The following is a 20,971-nucleotide window of genomic DNA, read 5'->3' as shown; positions in this document are numbered from 1 at the left end:
GTTATATAATTTAACATAGGAGTAGAAAACCAAGATGAATTTTACATGCATTTCATTTCTAGATATACTCATTTTACTCCCTTGCTAATCACAGGAGTTTATTTTATTCTATTGAGTTCATTTTTAACTTGGTTAATTTGAGATGTAATTATCCCCAAAAAAGTGAAAAATCAAAACACATGTAAGAGATTTTATCTTCACACAGAGGATCATAAAATTCTCATTTGAGATAATACTAAGAGAAAGTATTTTTCTTGACATTTCAACCGAAAGGAAACTTGGTAGACACTCAAATATAATGAAAATAGAAGGAAGATATAAAGAGGGTTTTAGTATCACTATAAAAACTCTCCTGCTGGGGCTTGGAGAGGCACACATATCCCTACAGATCAGAAGATAAGATAGGGATTCACCAACTTCACTCTTACACTGACCTCATTTTGATTAGAATAAATTTTTTGTCACTTCAGTCCCTGGAAAAAGCAAGTCTAACAGCTCCCAGGGAAAGAGACTGAATAACTTTAGGAACTTCAGTCATCTCCAAAGCTAGAGGAGCACCAATCTAAAGAGGAATAGACAGAGATTCCAAACAGCTCTGCTGTAATTTCTAAACAACTTTGGGAAGTCACAATTACTGAGTAAACTAGGTTCCCTAGCAACCAAATGCTCATTTGAATGCTCCCTCCCACCCTGTCCCCTTCATCAGCTGCATTCTCTGCGAAAATATCAGTGGAAAGTAGGGGTAGCAAGAATGGGGGAACTGCAAAGATAAACATGATGTAACTTTAAAGCATAATAGGAATTTTTAGGGCCAGGTGTGGTGGCTCACACCTGTAACCCCAGCACTTTGGAGGCCGAGGCAGGTAGATGGCTTGGGACTGGGAGTTCAAGACCAGCCTGGGCAACATAGTGAAACCCTGTCTCTCCAAAAAATACAAAAATTTGCCAGGCATGGTGGCACACTCCTGAAGTCCAAGCTACTCAGGAGGCTACAGTGGGAGGATTGATAGAGCCAGGGAGATTGAGGCTGCAATAAGCTGTGATCGTGCCACTGCACTCCAGCATGGGCAACAGAGCAAGACCCTGACTCAAAAAGAAAAAAAAAAGAATTATTAGCACTGGGTCTAATAAAAACATGCCAAATAATGATTCAGATAAAAGACCAGGGAACGTTTCATTTGCTGATATCACAATTTGCATAACATAAGGTAATCTCTGAAGAATTAAGAAAAAGGTTTTAAAATTTTGACAGGCTGGAGAAACAGACACATAAAATTTTAATGCAAGGAGAAATGGGATGCAAGGGTTTTGCACAGGCTTAGCCAAGAAAGGTTTTAATGTCCAGGGTAATCTTGAGGATGGAAATCTGTGGAAGGCTTCAGATCAGAAAACAAACAAATAGAAATCCAAGCAGGTCTCTCTCTGCCCAGTCAATCAAATTCTTTAGGGCCAGCAAATCTATGAAAGGACGCATCACGAGGGGGTAGAGAGTGACTGTTTAATGGCACTAAAGAAAAGCAAGCTTAAAATTGATGTTAACATTCACTTAGCTATTGTGAAGAACTGCCACAATCTATTCAAGGATTTCCTTCTCTGGACTTCAGAAATACCTTCTGGGATGGGCCTTGCTATGGTTTGAATGTTTGTTCCTTCTAAAACTTATGTTGAAATTGAATTGCTATGGTAACTGTATTAAGAGGCAAGAGTTTAAAGAGGTGATTACACCATTAAGGCTCTACTCTCATGGGTAGAATTGGTGCCAGAAAAGAAGGGCAACTCCAGCCCTCTTTCTCACTTTCTCTCGGCTCTTCTGCTTTCCCGTTCCTCCCCTCTGGAGGATGCAGCATTCAAGGAGCCATCTTGGAAGCCAAGACTGGGCCCTCATGAGACACCAAACCTGCCAGCACCTTGACCTTGGACTTCCCAGACCCCAGAACCTTGAGAAATAAATTTTTGTTCTTTATAAATTACCCAGTCTCAGTTGTTCTGTTATAGCAGCACAAAATGGACTAAGGACTCCACTGAGAAAAGGTACAGATTAGCACCTGAAGTTCTTAACAAGATACTCTGGAACAGAAAGCTGAAAACACAGGCTTTGGGGACAGATAAACCTGCATTAAAATCCCATCATGTACTTCCTGTGTGACTTTGGACAAGCTACTTAACCTCTCTGAGTATCAGTTTATTCATCTGTAAAATGTAGACCATATCTAATTCTTCATGGGCTATTATCCGATTAAATGAGTTAATGTAGGTGCTATATCTGGCATATAACATATCCTTAATAAACATTTCCTATTTATTATGTTCCTTCAAAAATCTCCTGCTGAATAAAGTTAAAATTGACTATGATGATATTTTGCATAAATGGTACCAAAAAACTGCTTAGTGTTAAAGTACCCATGACTCTACCTTTAATTGTTACCTGGTGATGTAATTGTCATTCATGTGTGTATAATACACAATAACAGATTTCTTACTGCTTGACCCAGACACTAAAAGGAAATTTCTATCTGCAATCTTTAACACAATCAATCAAAAAGTTATTGCCACTAAATAAAAAATTAAAAGCCAAGTGTTCCACTTGAGAAAGAAGTTTTTCTCAAGCATAAATTTAATTATCTGAGTTTCGGTTAGCCTATTCCTGTGTCTAGATTTTTGTTTTTGTTGTTTTGTTTCTCTTTTGTTATGAAATAATCACATAATACATGTATAATTTAATGTATAAAAGCAAATGAACAATTATGTACATACCTACAGAACATCACAAGCACCTCTGAAGTCTCATGTATAACCCTGCCCAAGCACAACATACCCTTCACCCCAGAAGTAATTAATTATCCTTCTGCATTTTGTTAATCTTCCCCTGCTTTTCTTAGCAGTCTTCCCATTTATGAGTCTATCTTTAAACAATATATTACTTTAGCCGTTTTTGAACTTTACATAAATAGAATCATATTGTATTAGTCTTCTATTTTGCTTTTCCACTCATCTTTATGCTTTTGAATTCATCCCTGTTGGCACGCACAGTTGTAGGTTACTCTTACTATTGTTTCATATGAATGTACCACAATTTCTTTATTCACTACACTGTTGATAGACATATACACTGTTTGCAGGGTTTCAGTATTATCAACAGTGTTACTTTGTGCATTCTTGTACATGTTAAGAGTTCTTTTAAGGCAGTGTTTCCCAACCTTTTTCACAATCCAACTGGTAAAGAAAACAGTAATATTGGTAGGGCAAACTGAAGTTATTAGACAAAACTGCTCCCACTCCAGCCTTGCTACCTGCCCTACTCCTTTATTCTGCTACCCTGAAAGATAAGGGAAGCAGGGGAACACTTTACAAGGTATAGTCTGTTCAAAATTATTCTAACAACTTATACTCTCACCAGCATGGTATGCATGTTTCTTTCCTTTGCCCTGTGCCTTTTCCAAACACTTAATATTGACAGGTGCTTGTCAATCTGGTAGACGCGAAATGGCGTCTTGCCATGGTTTTAATATGAAGACATACTGTACAACCTCTGTGATTAAAACAGTAGGGTATTGGAACATGAAGGGACAGACCAATAGAGGAAAACAGAAAATGCAGAAATACAGCCAACTATGTATAGAAATGAATTATATAAGGGGGGCACATCTCAAATCAGTGGGAAAAAGATGGACTTTTTTTTTTTTTTTTGAGACAGGGTCTTGCTCTGTCACCCAGGCTGGAGTGCAGTGGCACAATCACTGTAACCTTGAATTCCTGGGTTCAAGCCATCCTCCCACCTCAGCCTCCCGAGTAGCTGGGACTTCAGGCATGCAACACTATGCCCAGCTAAGTTTATAAAATTTTTCTGAAGAGATGAGGTCTCATTATATTGCCCTGGCTGGTCTCAAATTCCTGGCCTCAAGTGCTCCTTCTGCCTAGCCAAAGATGGACTTTTAATAAGCGGTTTGTGATGCCAGATAGCCATGTTGCAAAAATTAGATCCATTCTCCATACCATACAACAAAATAAATTCATACATGTAAATGTTCATGATAAAATCACACAAGTACTAAAAGAAAATACAGATGACTGTCTCTACAACTGCACTGTCCAAAATGGTAGCCATTAACCATATGTGGCTACTGAGACCTTGAAACATAGATAGTGTGACCGAGGAACTAAATTTTCAGTTTTATTTAATTTTAATTAACTGAAATTTTAAAATGGATATTCAATTAGGTATTGGAAAACTTTTTAAGTACAACTAGAACAACCTGGTTATGTGAATTTACTTTTTTCAACTGTAAATTTTATGAAACCTAAATACAGATCAAGCATTTATGATGAAAATTTAGTGACCAAATTGAAATATGTTAAATATATAAAACACGCATTAGTTCTTAAAAACTTAGCATGAAAAAAGAATGAAAAATATCTCACTAATATTTTTAAATACTGATTACTTATTGAAATTGATAATATTTTTGATACTTTAGGTTAAATAAAAATATTATTAAAATTAATTTCACCTGGGTTTTTTTTTTTTGCTGTAAATGTATCTACTAAATATTTACACATGTATTGTATTTACATATGTCTTGCTCTATAACCTGGATGTAAGGAAATTTTTTCCAACAATGACTTAAAACTAAGAGACAATCAAGAAACACTGATAATACTGACTGCACCAAAGAAAATAATTTGCTTAACATCATAATCAAAGAAAAATGACAAATAATAAACTGGGAAAAATATTTGCCAAATATTAGGGATGTTATCCCTAATATAAAATAAAGGGGGCTGGGCGCCGTGGCTCACACCTGTAATCCCAGTACTTTGGGAGACTGAGGCAGGCGGATCACCTGATCTGCCAAGTCAGGAGTTCCAGACCAGGCTGGCTGCGTGGCGAAACCCCGTCTTTACGAAAAATACAAAAATTAGCAGGGCATGGTGGTGCATGCCTGTAATCCCAGCTACTGGGGAGGCTGAGACAGGAAAATCACTTGAACCCAGGAGGTGGAGGTTGCAGTGAGCCGAGATGGTGCCACTGCACTCCAGCCTGGGCAACGACAGTGAAACTCCATCTCAAAAAATAAAAATAAGTAAAATAAAATAAAATGGAAAAAGACCCACAATTCTATAAAAATGGGCAAAAAAATATGAAGAAACTGTTCATAGAAAAAGAAATGCAAACCCCTAGACACATGAAAAAGAGCTGAAACTAGCTCAGAATCAGAGAGATAAAAATTAAAATTACACTAGACTATCATTTCTCACCAGTTAGATGGCTAAGACCTAAAGGCTGTACAATGTTTTTCTATTGGTGAGGCTCTAGGGTAAGAGGCAGTCTCATATTTTGTTAGTGGGAATGCAAAATAATGTAGCACATAACACCCACAGAAGGGAATTTGGTAATGTCTAGCAAAACTGCAAATGTATTTATCCTTTGACCCAGTGATCCCACTTCTAGGAATCTATTTTAAAGATAAATCAGCAAGAATATGAATGTAAATATTCACAAAGCTGTTTATTGCACCACTGTTCATTCCACTGTCCATCTAGTTAATTAAATGAAGTTTCAATTCTGGCTTTGTTTGACTTACAAATAAACCCCCATCAACAACAACAACAACAACAACAACAAAAAATTCCCCACTAAAATGTAAGAGCAAAAGATTAGAAACAACCATACAGCCAAATGAATAATTATGGTATATCTGTACGGTAGAATTTCTGCAGTTGTAAAATGCAATGAGAAATTTCTACCCATGGTACAGAGTGATCTCGGAAATATACTGTTAAGTACAAAATGCAAGGTGCAGAACTACAGTAGGCAACCTTTTTGCTAAGAGGGAAGAAATAGGGAAACAATATGTAAACATGCATATATACATATATATCATACCTACACATACATACAAACACACACACATATATATCTGAGTGGACACATATGTACACATACATATTTTTCTGAACTCTGTCCACTGAAAAGGCCTAAAAACAATGACCAGCTCAAAGGCAATGAGAACCCCTAACAACTGTACTGTGGTCTCGAAATACTGTTTACCACTAAAAAGATCTGGGGTAGAAAAAGTACAAAACAAATCTGAAATATCTTATTAAACAAGAAAGTAAAAATGTTATCAAAAACTACTGTCGTCTCATCAAAAAGATTCAGAAGCCAATTTAAAGAGTCTCACACTGGACACAAAAATAATTTGAGCTTCAAAATAAACTGCAAGGGATTAAAACACATAAATTGTGTTAAAATCCACAAGTTCATAATGATACTAAAAAAAAAAAATCTTGTTGGTTTCCTCTAGAGGCTACTAGAAAATCAGCTCATTATTTCTGATATTGGTTTAAATAGAAGAAAGAAAACCAAGCATCAATTTTCCTACATAAACTATATCTCAGGGTAACAAATAGTTGATGTTGTCAAGGTTTCTTGAGAGAAAAATTCCAGCTAGGAAATGCAGAAGGGATGACAGAATATCACCATTTTATAACCCTTACTAAATAATAATCACAATAGCATCAATGTTTTTTACAGGGCCTGTGATCAGACTAACAACACCTAAATCCACTGTTAGACTTAACTTCACAAAAGAAGAAACGAGAAGGCATGTGTGCCTCCTGATGTGATGTAATAGGAAGTACCTAACATGGCCAGGAGTGGTGGCTCATGCCTATAATCCGAGCACTTTGGGAGCCAAAGGTGGGCAGATTGCTTGAGCTCATGAATTCGAGACCAGCCTGGGCAACATGGCAAAAACCCCTCTCTACAAAATATTAGCTGGGTGTGGTGGCATACACCTATAGTCCCAGCTACTCGACAGGCTGAGGTGGGAGGATGGCTTGAGCCCAGGAGGCAGAGGCTGCAGTGAGCCGAGATCACAGCATTACACTCCAGCCTGGCCAATAGAGTCAGACCTTGTCTCAAAAAAAAAAAAAAAAAAAAAAAATAGAAGTACATAACACTTCCTGTGATGTGCTCTTGCCAAAAATTTCTAATAAGCTTCCAGTCTAGCTCAAACTACTAGTTTACAGGAAATACATGAGGAAACAGAGAAATATAATAAAAAACAGCAACAAAGAAGATGCAGTCAGGATACAGGGAATCCTATAGACAAATCCCTGTTTCCTCAACAAATAAACTTCCAGAGAAGGAAAAGAGATAAAAATAGGGAAAGAAAGCCTGTAAATAAGACAAATGCATCTCTCAGGTGTGGAAATTGTTTGGATCCCAAAAACGCAAAAAAGTAATAATTTTTAAAAATGATGACAATCAAGGAAATTTGCTTTCTGACTAAATATTTGATATTAGGAAATTACTGTTAGAAATTAGACATGATAATAATATTATGATTATTTTAAAAGGAAAACGACTCTGTATCTTTTAGAAATACATACAGCCATGTGCCACATAACCATGTTTTGGTCAGCAATGGTCAATGGATATGAAACTGTGGTTTCATAAGATTATATAATGGAGCTGTCCTACACAGGTATATCATTTTTTATATTTTATACCATATTTTACCTTTTCTATATTTAGATGTTTGGATACACAAATACCATTTTGTTACAACTGCCCATAGTATTCAGTACAGAGATGTATTGTACAGGTCTATAGCCTAGGAGCAATAGGCTATATCCTATAGCCTAGGTGTGCAGCAAGCTATACCATCTAGGTTTGTGTAAGTACACTCTATGATGTATGCACAATGATGAAATCATCTAAAGACACATTTCTTAGAATATACCTGTGTGGTTAAATGACAATCTATTATGTACAGAGCAGATAATACAATGTCTGATTTGCTTCATAAAGAACCAGTAAATGAGAAGAAAGGAGTGTACGAGGAAGGGGGCAGAGAAAACAGAACTGGCTGGGAGTTGACAATTAAAAGTCTGACTTTAAAGTAGGAGCGCTCGGATTCCAGTCTTAGCACCACCACTATTAGCTACAAGACCTAATCAAGATCCTAAACACACTGAGGCTTAGTCATTCTCTGTCTGTGAAGAAGAGGTAACAGTAGTGGGTTCCTCATAGAGTTGCTGCAAGCATTAAAGGAACAGTGCATGTCGTGTACTCAGCACAGTACCTAGGCACAGAGTCATCACTCAGTACATGTTAGCTTTCATTATTACTATTGTCAATTATTGCCGTTGTCATTCAAGATCACTAATCTGGAGTTAGGAGGTGGCGAAACTAGGATAGAATCCGCTGAATCCATAGCCCACATTCTTCCCGCTACATTATGATGCCTCACCTACCTCTCCTTGACCCTCTCAGTGGAGTCCGAGAATGAGTAACAAACATACTCTGCAATAAGCTTCCCTATTTATACTACAAACCTTTAATGACACTGCTTCTCAGCCTCCACTTCTGGAATCAAATAGCAATCATTTGCTGTAACTTAAAGTGTTCTTACAATTGATGGCTATTCATCTGGTAGGATGTAAATACCCATGTATTTTTAATCCCCTTACAAATTAACGCACACACTTATAAATTCACAATGATTAAACACTGGCACTTTCAACATCATCCCAAACCATGGCTCCAAATTTTTACTACATTGGGTGCTCGCATAAGTTATACAAGGCTAAACTCAGATTCCAAACATACAAAACTAACAAAGTGATAAAACATTAAACTTTGCATGCAGCATAAGCTAATACATAATATTACAATGCTAAGTAGCCATACAGTTGTTTTTTTTTCTTTTTCAGACCAAGTCTCACTCTGTCACCCAGGCTGGAGTGCAGTAGCGCGATCTTGGCTCACTGCAAGCTCTGCCTCCTGGGTTCACGACATTCTCCTGCCTCAGCCTCCCAAGTAGCTGGGACTACAGGCGCCCGCCACCACACCTGGCTAATTTTTTGTGTTTTTAGTAGAGACGGGGTTTCACCGTGTTAGCCAGGATGGTCTTGATCTCCTGACCTTGTGACCTGCCCTCCTTGGCCTCCTAAAGTGCTGGGATTACAGGCGTGAGCCACTGTGCCTAGCCAGCCATACAGTTTTTTAACGGTGAGAAAACATGTTGATATATTCCCATCAAATAAACGTTCCCACATCTATTTAATAACAGACATTATGAAAATGTCTTTAGATTTGTTTTACTTCTTCATACAACAATTCTGACCACATGCCACTGCCTGATCCTCCCTTTTCTTTGACAGACACCACACTTGCCTGGTTTGAGTCTCCTTCACCATCCTTTTCTATCACACCTCTGAAACACGGGGGTTCCCTAGAACTCACTGTTTAGTTTTCTTCTACATACTTTCCCTGTGCAAACTGATGCTGAACCACAACAGCTTCAACTATCACATTTATAAAAACTCTTTCAATCACTGATTTATTCATCCATTCAACAAATATGTGCTGGGCCCCTAGTGTGCGGCAGGTGTTCTTTGGATACAAAAGGATCAAAAACAAATACAGTCTTGCCTTCATGAACCCTACAGTTGCAGGCGGTGGGGGGATGTTATTAGCATTAATCAAATAAACTCAAAAATGAATGAGCAATTACAATATTGGAAAGTGCATACAGACAAGGAGAGGAGGTACGTGGTGTGGTAAGAGGGTAGAATAGAGGGATTTGACCTCATCATGGAAATGTAGTGAATGATTCCGAGAAAATGATGACTGAGCTGACAGCAAACTCATAATTCTATCCCAACCCTCTCTTCTGAATTATAGACCAGAATTTCAGTTATGTGTTAGATATCTCCTTCTAAGAGAGCATACACACCAGAAACTCAACCTCTTGCAAACTGAGTTAATTATCTTTCCCTCTAATGGCTATTAGCTTCCACAGCTCAGAGTATAATCCAACCAGAAATTTTACAATTATCCTTTACTCTATCCCCTTTATCACTCTCCTGCCCAATTTTTCACTGAGTCCTATCAGTTCTGCTTCCTAAATCCTTCTTCTGTCTGTCCCCTTTCTCCATTTTCAGTTCTCAGTATCTCCCTCCTAGTTAGTACTACAGTTCACTTGTTCTGACTCATCTCTGTCCCCTCCAGTCTCTTACCCATACTCAATAGAGAACCAAACATCATACAAAATAGGCTTTTCTCTCTTTATAATCTTTCAGTGACCCTCACTGCTTATATTGTGGGCAAAAAGTCCAAACTCTTAGCATGACCTAAAAGGATTTGCATAGTTCATCAGCCTCATCTCCCATTGCTCTCTATCATATGTGGAAAGTCCAGCGACATCAATCCATAACCACATGGCTCCACGTCATTACATTTCTTCTGTTTGAAGTGGCCTACTTCATCTTCCATCTGCCCCCAAACCCCTTTATCCCCAAATGCCAGTAAGAGAATTGGTCTATGAGTGTACAGTAAAATAAAAAAAATTCAAAGTTAGCAAACCAGTGTTAGTCCCCAGTATTTTTGGCAATGTAAGCAGTGTCCTGGAGGACTCCTGGTAGCTTTCAAGTGTCAGTCCAAATATATCCCTCTCTGTGATACCTTTTATGACTCCTCGATGTTGGGGAGTCATCATTTATTGTCCAAACTGAGATCCTTTTGAGAGTAAAGGGAACACTATTATTAACTACGTTGGACAGTGGGAATAAGCCAGGACTGCCCCAGGGAAACTGGGATGCACAGTCTGCTTCCCACTAAACAGAGCTTGGTGCTTTCTTATCTCAACTCCCAAAGCACCTTTGTCTATTCACCACATATCATGTGTTCGCATGTCAATTCTCCTGCTTGTCTGAGAACTCCACAAAGGCAGGGCCAGGCCTTTTTATCTATCTCCAGCATCTCTCCAGTCCCAGGCACCAGAAATGACACAAAACTTCATTAACAAAAGTCAATGTTTGTTCAATAAATTATCTGAGTGAATAACAAAGATTAGGTCCCTTAACCCTGGCCAACAAAGGAATTTAAAAATTTATATTATCTTTTCTCATTCCAGACTATACTTCCTCATTATATTAAAGAAGGCTTCAAACGGGAGCAAGGTCTTCATAGACAGAAACTGTGAGCCTCAGGATCAATGACAAGCTGTCAATCAATCAATAACTACTTATTTAGACCAATCTACTTTTAAGGCCCAGTGGGCACAATAGAAGGGTTTACATTTGGCTGGGGACAAAAATATATATAATAAAAATCAAAACTAATAATAAAATAAATTAAGCCTAAAATAAGTATTACAGCAGTTCATGGAAGGTAAGGGAGAAACCACTCTTATAGCAGAAAAAGGGCTCCTTGGAGGAGGTGGGATTTGAAGTGAGATTTGAGAAATATCTTGGATCTCAAGAGACACAGTAGAGGGGAAGAAGGATATCCCAGGGTGAGGCAGGGGTGGGTGTTGGGGAGGCCATGGAAGGGAGGCATAAAATTTGTTTTGGGAGTCGCATCTAGACTGTCATGGATTCCTGGCACAAACCAGAATATCTGAATTTTCAGCAACTACTAAGCAACTCAAGAGATGTTCCTGGATTCTCACTTCCTTCATCAAAATATTATCCACCTGAAACATATAATGAGATATATGTTGCTTATTCCTTATAACCTATTAATTGCAAGAACTGTTAACAAAATTATCTTAGAAAAACTGCTTTTGGCAGAACTTTGAGATAGAACCACTGAAGTCACCCTGACTATCTGTGTCTTTGAGAAGTTTCCTGCAAATCACAGCCTGGCAGCCCGCAGCATCTCCTTACTTTACACCTGGCCTTTCAATTGTCTCATGTAAAAGGACATAGTGCTAATACAGGGGCTCTACTAGACCTCCTTGTCAACTGTGGAATTCAGGAAGAAGCTTTTAGGAATGGCTATGATATGCATGCATGTCATGGTTTGTTGAGAGTACATCCCTTAGCACTTGTATCTATGATGATGGGTATGAAAAAGGTTCCCACACTTCAGTGAAAACAATCAACTTCTCAATCGCCTTTCCTCACCCAGTTCAGGTGGGAAAAACCATAAGTCACCAGGCAAAGTAAAATATATTCTAACATGTGGTTTAACAATGAACTGAAACTGCTGCAGTATCCATGACACTCAAATAAAATACAGATCCATCCAAGAAAAGGAATTATTACTTAAAAACCATCATCTCCCTGTTCTGCTTTAAAGTACCTTTTTCCAAAAGCCCTAAAGCACTCAGGATATTGCATAACAAATGTTGGATCTACTTTTGAAGTAGTTTTCTAAAAAGACCAATCCAAATTCATATGTAGTGAGTCAATGGGATATATTTTTCCAGTAGTAGTGCTCAGTTTACTTTTTTCCCCACTGACCCTACTGATAGGGCTGATATAGGCTACAAACTTATAGAGGAAACCAACAACATTAGGTGTTAGCTAAAGAATCTTCACTTGGCATAAATGTGTCCCATGAATTTATAAAATTTTCATGGAGAGCAGTAAAATTACAACAAATTGGAAAAAATTAGTTCAAGTTGCAGGAATACTTATTTAACCAACATTTACTTAACCAAAGGAGAAAAAAAAAGGTAATGAAGATGAAATTAAATAAACCATTCTACTTTTGTGATTAGCAAGCCGAATTTGGTGTGTAATAAAGTCTTCCTTTGGTGCTATTATGAAAATCTCTGGAATGCTTTTCCAGATTTGTTGTCCAAATCTTTTAAAATAACAATAATCATCAAGATATTTCCTTTAGCTTATCCAATGGAGAATGTAATAGCTAAGAGAAGTGAAGAAGCAAAGTACTCACCTACTAATAAATGGCTTAAGAGCCTTACAAAGTCAACAATATAACATACTAGAATCAAAAATGAAAACAAAGGCAAAAAGATCCCTAAACTTGGGGGTGCTCTAATTCCACTTTTCTACAAGGTATAAAGTATGTGGATGTCAACTCATGAATACTATAAACACATGTGTTGAGATGGCGGGAGCCTGAGAAACAGGCAGAGGCAGGTATGTGCTGGAAGATCTAAAAGCTTGATGGAGAGAAGTGGGTGGGAGGAAGAAGGGAGGAGGTGTGGGGCAAAGTAGGACAGGGGCCCTGAGGGAAGAAGGGAGTCACTGGGCTGGAAGCAAGAAGTCTACTGTCAGGCAGATAGGTGGGAGGAGCCAGATAGACAGTGGATCTGGAGATACGGTTAAAATACTGTACTGGAAAAGCTCATTCAGACACATTCAGACAATAAAGTCTTGCAGGCAAAAGTAAGGTGTGGGATAGGAAGCAGAAGGGAGCCTGACACAGTGGCTGATGCTGCGGTGGTCTTGGGGAGGCTGAGGCAGGGGGATCGCTTGAGCTCAGGAGTTCCAGACCAGCCTGGGCGACATGGCAAGACCTCATCTCTAGAAAAAAACACAAAAACTCTCCAGGTGTATGGTGTGCACCTGTGGCTCCAGCTACTCAAGAGTCTGATGTGGGAGGATGACTTGAGCCAGGGAGGCAGAGGTTGCAGTGAGCCAAAATTGTGCCACTGCACTCTAGCCTGGGTGACAGAATGAAACCCTGTCTCAAGAAAAAAAAAAAAAAAAAAAAAAAAGGAGGAATGTCTATGGATAAAAATCTATGGGCCAGAAAAACATGAAAAATCTTCAGAAAGGAAGTGATAGATGAAAGGGATACTTGTCAAAGGTGGACTAAGAGGCCAAAGCCAGCCCAAGAGACAGAACAGGTATAGGGGGAAAGCCACTGGATGCTGGGAGCCTGAGTGGGCTCAGTGCACTAACAGGTCTCAACTTTCCTTTACTTCAGTTATTATTTTTTTTAAATTTAGATTTAGATGATAGGAGTGCAGTTCTGTGACATGGATATATTGTGTAGTGGTGAAGTCTGGGCTTTTAGTGTACCCATCACCCAAATAGTGTACATTGTGCCCAATACGTAATTTCTCAACCCTCGCCGCCCTCCCATCCTCCCATCTTTTGGAGCCTCCAGTGTCTATTATTCCACTCTAAACGTCCATGTGTACACACTGTTTAGCTCCTGCTTTATTCAGGTTATCTTAGAGGGAGCAGCAGTGAATCTAATAAATCAAGAGGTGGAGGGCTTCCTGAGCTTTCCCTGGACCTCTCCAGCACTCCTTGATCCAGGCACATTCTGGGAAAGATCCCAGCATGGAAAATCCTGACTGCTACGGCTGCAGCCAAACGTCAAATGAGACAGGTTACATGAAAGGACTTTGAAAACCATAAGGCACACTATAAATATTAGGCACTGTTATTCACCAAATCCCTGAGGCAAATAAGATGAAGACCACAGCTACAATCATAAGGGAAGGAACGCCTGTCAAATACAGAAATTATATCTATTCCAAATCAAGATGCTCCTAACTAGAAATTCTTGTAATTTGGGGGCCGGGCACGGTGGCTCACGCCTGTAATCCCAGCACTTTGGGAGGCCATGGTGGGCAGATCACTTGAGGTCAAGAGATCGAGACCATCCTGGCCAACATGGCAAAACCCTGTCTCTACTAAAAATACAAAAATTAGCCAGCCATGGTGGCACCTGCCTGTAATCCCAGCTACTCAGGAGGCTGAGGCATGAGAATTGCTTGGACCCAGGAGGTGGAGATTGCAGTGAGATTGCACCACTGCACTCCAGCTTGGGTGACGGAGCAAGACTCTGTCTCGAAAAAAAAAAAAGAAAGAAAGAAATTTCAATAATTTGAGAGGACATCATGCTTGGTATGTTTCCTGTCAAATGTGTCTCAACATTTAAAAATCCTACCTGAGGCATAATATGGGGCTCTTAATAAACTACCATACACATTTATTAAAACTTAAGTCCACATCTAATGTATTTCTCCAAGGAAATTTTGACACATTGCAGATCTTAACTAATTAGGTAAATTCCATTCCATTCAATCACTCATTGAGTGACTTCCAAGTGCAAAGTAGTGTGCTAGCTGCTATGGGGGTTGCTGAGATGAGCAAAAGGGCCTAGCCTTCCAGTAGCTTGGCCAATTAGTCTTCTCAGCTTCCATTTTAGACTGGGGAAGCTGCATCTCCTTTCACAAATGTAAGAGAAAGCAATCATTAGTTTAGGTGATTAGCCTACAACCTGGGAAATACATTTTCTAGTAATATAGTTAACAAAAAAGCAAAGAAACTTCTTAATACCTGGTGACTGGAGACACTGTTGTGTGCTCATTTCTATGTTTATCCTAGCCCAGTTTACCTCCAACCACTCTTGTCATAATTGCATAACCACAGCATGTCATGTTGTTTCTTGTTGCAACTATAACTTGTAAAATTAAACTTCAGAACCGAGACAGTCAAGCTAAATAATTGCCTACTTTAAAAAATATGTATGTATGTAATTTACATGCCACTTCAGATAAGCTCTTGAATTATGATCTCTGGAAGTCAAAACTGTCACCATTATTTAAAATATAGTTTCACTGTCGCAATCTTTCTTGTACACAAGCCCTATCCCTGTTTTTTCAGTTTTCTAAGCAGTACTTTATACTGGTCTATTGCAATCTGCTTTTTGTGTTTTATGAAGAACCCAATTAAGCATAATTTTTATTTACTGCATGCTACGGGACTTTTAAAATTGAGGCTCAAAGAAGGACCATAAAGTGGCCAAAGATGTATTTGTTTGCTAAAAGCCTATTCATAAAAGTATCTTTACACAGTAAAGCTGGAAAAAAAAAGGTCATCTGAGTACCCACCACGTACATTGTGTAGGGTCCTCCAACCTGTATTATATATCATGTAACCCTTCCCTCACCTTGGGAGGGAGGCTTCACTATATCCATTTCCAAAATAGTATTTTTAGGAGATGTATATTTTCATGAAGACTGATCGACCCAATATCTCTGAGTGAATTCTGATTGACTAGATGTATAAGTAGATTTACGTAGTCAATATGTTCCTAAAAAACTGGAGGCAAATCAACTTTCACATACAAATTATTTTCATGTAAACTTGCATTGTAAGATCAGACCTGCCATACCCTCACTCCTGATTGATAATCAGCACTGTGCTGCTCAGAGCACTTGCTGGAGTCTGAAGCTTACCCATGTGTACATACCCTTTCCTAACTCTTTGATGCGTCTGGATTCCATTCCACCCATGAGGAGGTGCAGAATGAAACAGTTTAAATCACCTGAAATGAGCAGTGACCACACTCTAAGATACCAGCTAAACATCAGGAGAGAAAATACAAACAAAGCAATGCTCTCTCCTCTCTTTATATTTGGTTCTAAGAAGCTGGAGGAAAACAAAGTATCATAAGACAGTGAGGTTTCACCAATTTCTCTGTTAACTGGCAGTATCCTACAATCTCCCTCCGGAATTACTGTACGATTACCCTTTAGTTAGGGCCACCCTCAAAGTAGAGCTGGAAGGAAACTTCAAAGGATACAGAACCCCAAGACCTCTGTACTTAAACATGTGAGCTACACAAGATGCCTCATTATATGGCTGTAAGTTGTATTGATAAATTCAAATGAAGACAGTCATATTTATCACCTTAGGACTCTTCTGTAAATATGTCACCTGCCTTCTCCTGCCCTATTGGAAGGTGACATGACATTCCCTCTCCCAGCCTTTGGTGTCTCCTTTAGACAAAAACAAACAAACAAAAAACAAAAACAAAAAAACGTCTTATAGAAGGGGGCTGCTTAGAGCCTGGAGCAAGCCACTCAGAATGTAAAACTCAAAGCTTGCCTGGTCACAAAGGCAACACAGTACTGAGGCATGATTCACTTGGAAATTATAATAGAGCAAACCACCTTCCTCCTTAGTAGGATTTTTGAATAAGTCATAGCAAATAGTACCAAAGCTCTTGAATGATGCCCTGTGATTCTTCAAGAATCAAACCCCTTCAGACAGTGGCCTATTAATTCCCAGAAACCCATGTTGAATGATAAAGTGAGATGGGGCGGAGGAGGGATAAATGTCTAGCCAAGAAAACAAAATTATCAGTTTTCTAAACTCGGAGTTAAATTAAGTCAACCCTGAGAAGGAAAGCTGGAACTTTAAGGTCCTTCTAGGATGAACTTTTAACACTGGAGGATGTGAGACCTCTCTACCACCCAAGGCCATTTTTCTTTGGAAACATGCCCAGTTGTGACAAAGCTAGACAACAGAAGCACCCCGCCCCTCCTCAGGCACCCACCCACCCAAGAGCTGAGCGCACTGGTCTTTGTTGCCCTTTTTAGAAGCCTCCAGGACTGTTCTCTGAAGCAGGTTTGCACAGCAGTAAACATTGAGTGACATCCTCTTTCAACGCTGCATTTGTGATCTGTGAAGTACCAGTCCCAGCATTGGTTTAACGCCTATAAATACACTCCGTTGTCCTATCACTGGTACTTCCTACTTTGTAAGTAGCAAAACAAAAATAGGTGATCCAATCCAAATTAATTTCCATGTCTGACAATTACATTTCCAAACAGCCAACATGGAACATGTTCTATTGATCCTACAATCCAGCTCTAGACAATATGAAAAAGGGGGGAAAACTCCAAATTCAGCATCTTGAACTTAAAAGACCCTTCAGAAACATCACCTTCTCCCCACAACAGTGCTGAAGTAGCTCAGGCCCACTCCACCTATGTTTGTTTCTATCCTGGTACATTCCAATTCTATCAAATCAAAAGGTTATTCCTATTAGGCAGAAGCTGAACCCATCCCCTTGAATAGGGAGGTGTTCATTACATCTGTCTGTGTAATGAACTTGTCATTTCCCCAAACGGTCTGGACAGTCTCCTACAAAAAAAAAAAAGAAAAGAAAGAAAAAAATACTCCATGGAATCTATGGTGTGTCAGTCCCCTTCCTAACATCTGAGTCAGACTACGTGTGTCTTTACTGAGGTTCTGGGTGCCCAGGGTGTATCACTTTCAGAATTGCTTCAGTAACTGAACTATGGCTGTCTTCCAGCCACGGACAACACAAGCACTATCTATTTTAAAACAATTTTCCTAACCCACCGGCAATGGAAGAGATCCCATAGGTCACCGACTTCCTATTGAAAACAAATTATTTCTCTCTCAAACTGCTTGCCGTCTCTCAGAATTAATGCGTGTTTATGTGTGCATATTTTTATCTTTGGCCATGCAACTCTTGGAGCAAAGAGGACCACCCCAAATTTTACCGACATGCCTGAGCCATTCAGAGCTTTAGAAGAGAAATGAACGAGTGCTGAGAGCCCTTAAGCCCAGGACTTCTCTCACACAAACAGTAAGTGGAAAGGAAAAAACAAAAACAAAAACAAAAACTAACCCTCCGTAGAGGGAGGGAGCAGGGTGGATGATAGGGAAAGGACATTAACCAGCAGACCAAAGGCAGCCGCGGCGGCGGCACTTCGCGAACTGCCTGCAGAGGAGAGTGAAATCTGTTTCGTGTACAATAACCAAGCACCCTCTGGCTGCCTCGCATGGGCACGAATAATAAATACACCGAGGTGGGCAAACAGATGCAACGAAACGAGCCACCCCAAAAAGGTCAAAACTTCAGAAATCCCGGGGGTCAAACCACCCACACAAACACATCAATCAGTCGGAGCGAGAGAAGGGACTTGGATACTTAGCAAAGGATCCTAAATTGTGTTTTTCCTTTCAAGCTCTGGCTTGCAAAGTACGGTGGCTACATGCAAAGCTAGAGGAGAGCAGGAAGGCTGAGGGCGGCAGGGTGCGGGTGGGAAGGGAGGGGTGTCTAACACCAGCCACCCAGGCCTCGATGTGACGAAAGTCGTCAGCAGCCCCGACCACATCCCAGCCCCTCCGCCCAGGCCGGCAGACGCCCCTCGCGGCTCCCCCACCCCAGCTTCCGTCCCTGGCAGCAACCCCGCCAGCCCCGCACCAGCAGCAGCCCCGGCCCGGGCCCCGCGCAGGCAGCGCCACGACCGCGGCTCCCATCCCTTCCGTGCGGCAGACACCCCGCAGGCCTCCCTCCCTGCCCACCCGGGGATGCCCGGGTAGCCGAGCCGGGGCGGGCTGCACCGCCAGCTCCCCCCGCCCCAGAGCAGGCAATGGCTCACACTTACCTTGGGCGTTCGCGGGGGGGCTGAAGGTGGCAAGCCTCCCGCCCCCCGCCCCTGTCCTCCTCGTCTTTTTTCTTCCTCCCTCCTCCTCTTCTTCCTCCTCCTCCCCACAGTGTGTCCGGGGCTCCCCCTCCTCCCCGCCGCTTGGAGTAAGAACCCAAAACCCCGAAGCCGGGCCCGCGTGCAAGCGTGCGGGAGGCGGCGGCGCGCGGCCAGCTCTCCAGTAACTGAGCGCGGCGCGCAGCTCCCAACTAAAGTGTGAAAGAAGCAGCGGCCGCGGCGGCCGCGGCACGGAACGTCCCCCCGGGAGTGGGCAGGGAGCGAGCGGGAGCTTGCGAGGAGCGAGCGAGGGAGGGGAGCTCCTCGCTCAGTCACTCACTCGAGGGGCGGGGGCAGCAGACACTCCCCCACCGCCGGCCCCTCCCCGAGCCTAGCTCCCGCGCGCGCCTGGCTCTCCTCCCCGGGGCGGGGCCTGCGGAGGCCGCCGGGGCGCAGCGCGCTGGGGAGCGGGTTGGGGGCTGCTAGGGCTGCGGGGCGGGAAGGAGGCGGCAGTGTGTGTGTGTGTGTGTGTGTGTGTGTGTGGGCAGGTGTGTGTGTGTGTGTACGTGTGTGCGCGCGCGCCCTGCAGCGGCCGGCCAGCCGGAGGGAAGACCCCGGCGGGAAGACTGCGTCCCGTCCGGCCTTCCCGGGCCTGTCACTTGGGCGGTGGCGTGGGAGCGGCGAGGCTGCTCGGGGGGCAGCCGGGTGGGCCCAGCTCTAGGGGAGATTCGGGTCAGCCCCTGAGCCCAGCCTCCCGGCTGTGCCTGCTGGAAGCAGACGGAGGGAAGGCCGGGCGTCTTTGGCCCACCGCGCGGCCGCTCCCCTCCCGGGCCAGGCTGAACGGGCGGGCGCAGCCCAGAGGCCCGGGCTCTGCCACCGATCCGCCTCCATACTGACCCGAGCTGCGGCGCCTGCAAGATTAATGAAGCATCCGCGATTCGGTAGAGGCGGCACGGGGAGGAAAGACACAAGATCGTGCTGCCCCCCTCTCCCCACCCTTCTCAGCCTCCTAGGACCTAAAGGCGTAGGCTGCGTCTGCTGGGCGCGTCCGGAGTGGTCCAGAGAGATCGCCATCCACCACTGCATCCGTCCAGTTCTTTGTGGACCCTCACAGAAGCTCAATCAATTTCCCACCCTCTGGAAAAGGGTATTTTTCTCTTCCCTGGCATATTGGGTGTTTCTTGTGTGCACCTAATTGATCTTTTTCCATTGATAGCCTTTGGATGTCTTTTGTGCGGCTTCCCCGCGCTTCACTGCTCCCTCATTGCCTTAGACACGCGAGGAATGTCAGGCCCCCAGAGTGAGAACACCCAAGAAAACAATAGGGGCAAAAGATCCTCCCTGGGCCTCGCGGATTATGCACAAACCAGATCATTTCCCACATTCGGCCAGGGTGAAGATGGAAAATGGAAAAGAACGCCATCAGAGTGGTGACACTGACGAGAAAAGCCAATTCATAATTTAGTTTAATGAAATGAGTTAGTAATCAACCACTAATGTCTAGGAAATTGGCCTTTTTTGAAAACTGGTTTTCCCTTTCTCCACCCCTTTTTTTTTCAAATTAAAAGACTAGTATCCCACTGTTGTTGTTTTAATTTTTATTGTTTTCAGGGATGGGGTCTGCTGCCAAGGCTGGATTCGAACTCCTGAACCCAAGAGATCCTCCTCAAGGGATCTTCCCCATCTCAGCCTCCCAAGTAGCTGGGACTACAGGCCAATTCCACCGCACCCTGCCTAACATCACATTGTTCAGGAACCTCAACTTACATTCCATTTTTACAAAATATCCATATTCTGGTTCATACTTCTTGGAGCCCAAATTTTTTGTAGTCTAGCCTCTTGGAAAGGAGCGGTTAAGAAGGGAGGGTAGATAAATTGAGATTTCAATCAGGGGCAGCCAGCCCCATCCCTTTCACCACTGGTGACTTGTTTCATTTCTTCTTTCTTTCCTCATCTGTAAAGGCATTGATAATGATCGTTCCTACCTCATAAGCTTGTGA

At 41.8% G+C, this 20,971-nt stretch overlaps 1 protein-coding gene and 1 long non-coding RNA gene across 2 annotated transcripts in view, besides 3 other annotated features; one reads left to right on the top strand and one right to left on the bottom strand.

Annotated features, from left to right (window-relative positions):
* C1orf21 (chromosome 1 open reading frame 21) overlaps positions 1-19,275 on the bottom strand; it is a 241,991-nt gene extending 222,716 nt beyond the window's left edge. The window contains exon 1 of the mRNA NM_030806.4: positions 18,936-19,275. The gene's annotated coding sequence lies outside the window, so the exon portion shown is untranslated. The remainder of the gene's footprint in view (positions 1-18,935) is intronic.
* Positions 19,240-19,499: a silencer, noted in NCBI's record as "silent region_1639". NCBI's record gives its function as "represses an Ori minimal core promoter by ATAC-STARR-seq in GM12878 lymphoblastoid cells {active_cell/tissue: GM12878}" and the evidence as "EXISTENCE:reporter gene assay evidence [ECO:0000049][PMID:35858748]".
* Positions 19,530-19,639: a silencer, noted in NCBI's record as "silent region_1638". NCBI's record gives its function as "represses an Ori minimal core promoter by ATAC-STARR-seq in GM12878 lymphoblastoid cells {active_cell/tissue: GM12878}" and the evidence as "EXISTENCE:reporter gene assay evidence [ECO:0000049][PMID:35858748]".
* Positions 19,600-20,551, top strand: C1orf21-DT (C1orf21 divergent transcript). Its single transcript, NR_172919.1, has one exon. It is a non-coding gene; the product is annotated as a C1orf21 divergent transcript (long non-coding RNA).
* Positions 19,730-19,789: a silencer, noted in NCBI's record as "silent region_1637". NCBI's record gives its function as "represses an Ori minimal core promoter by ATAC-STARR-seq in GM12878 lymphoblastoid cells {active_cell/tissue: GM12878}" and the evidence as "EXISTENCE:reporter gene assay evidence [ECO:0000049][PMID:35858748]".
* Positions 20,552-20,971: the final 420 nt, after the last annotated feature.

This window comes from Homo sapiens, chromosome 1 (genome assembly GCF_000001405.40).
Source record: "Homo sapiens chromosome 1, GRCh38.p14 Primary Assembly".
Classification (NCBI taxonomy): Eukaryota; Metazoa; Chordata; class Mammalia; order Primates; family Hominidae; genus Homo; species Homo sapiens.
The sequence above is the reverse complement of the archived record's forward strand: the minus strand, read 5'-3'. Positions and strand labels throughout refer to the sequence as shown.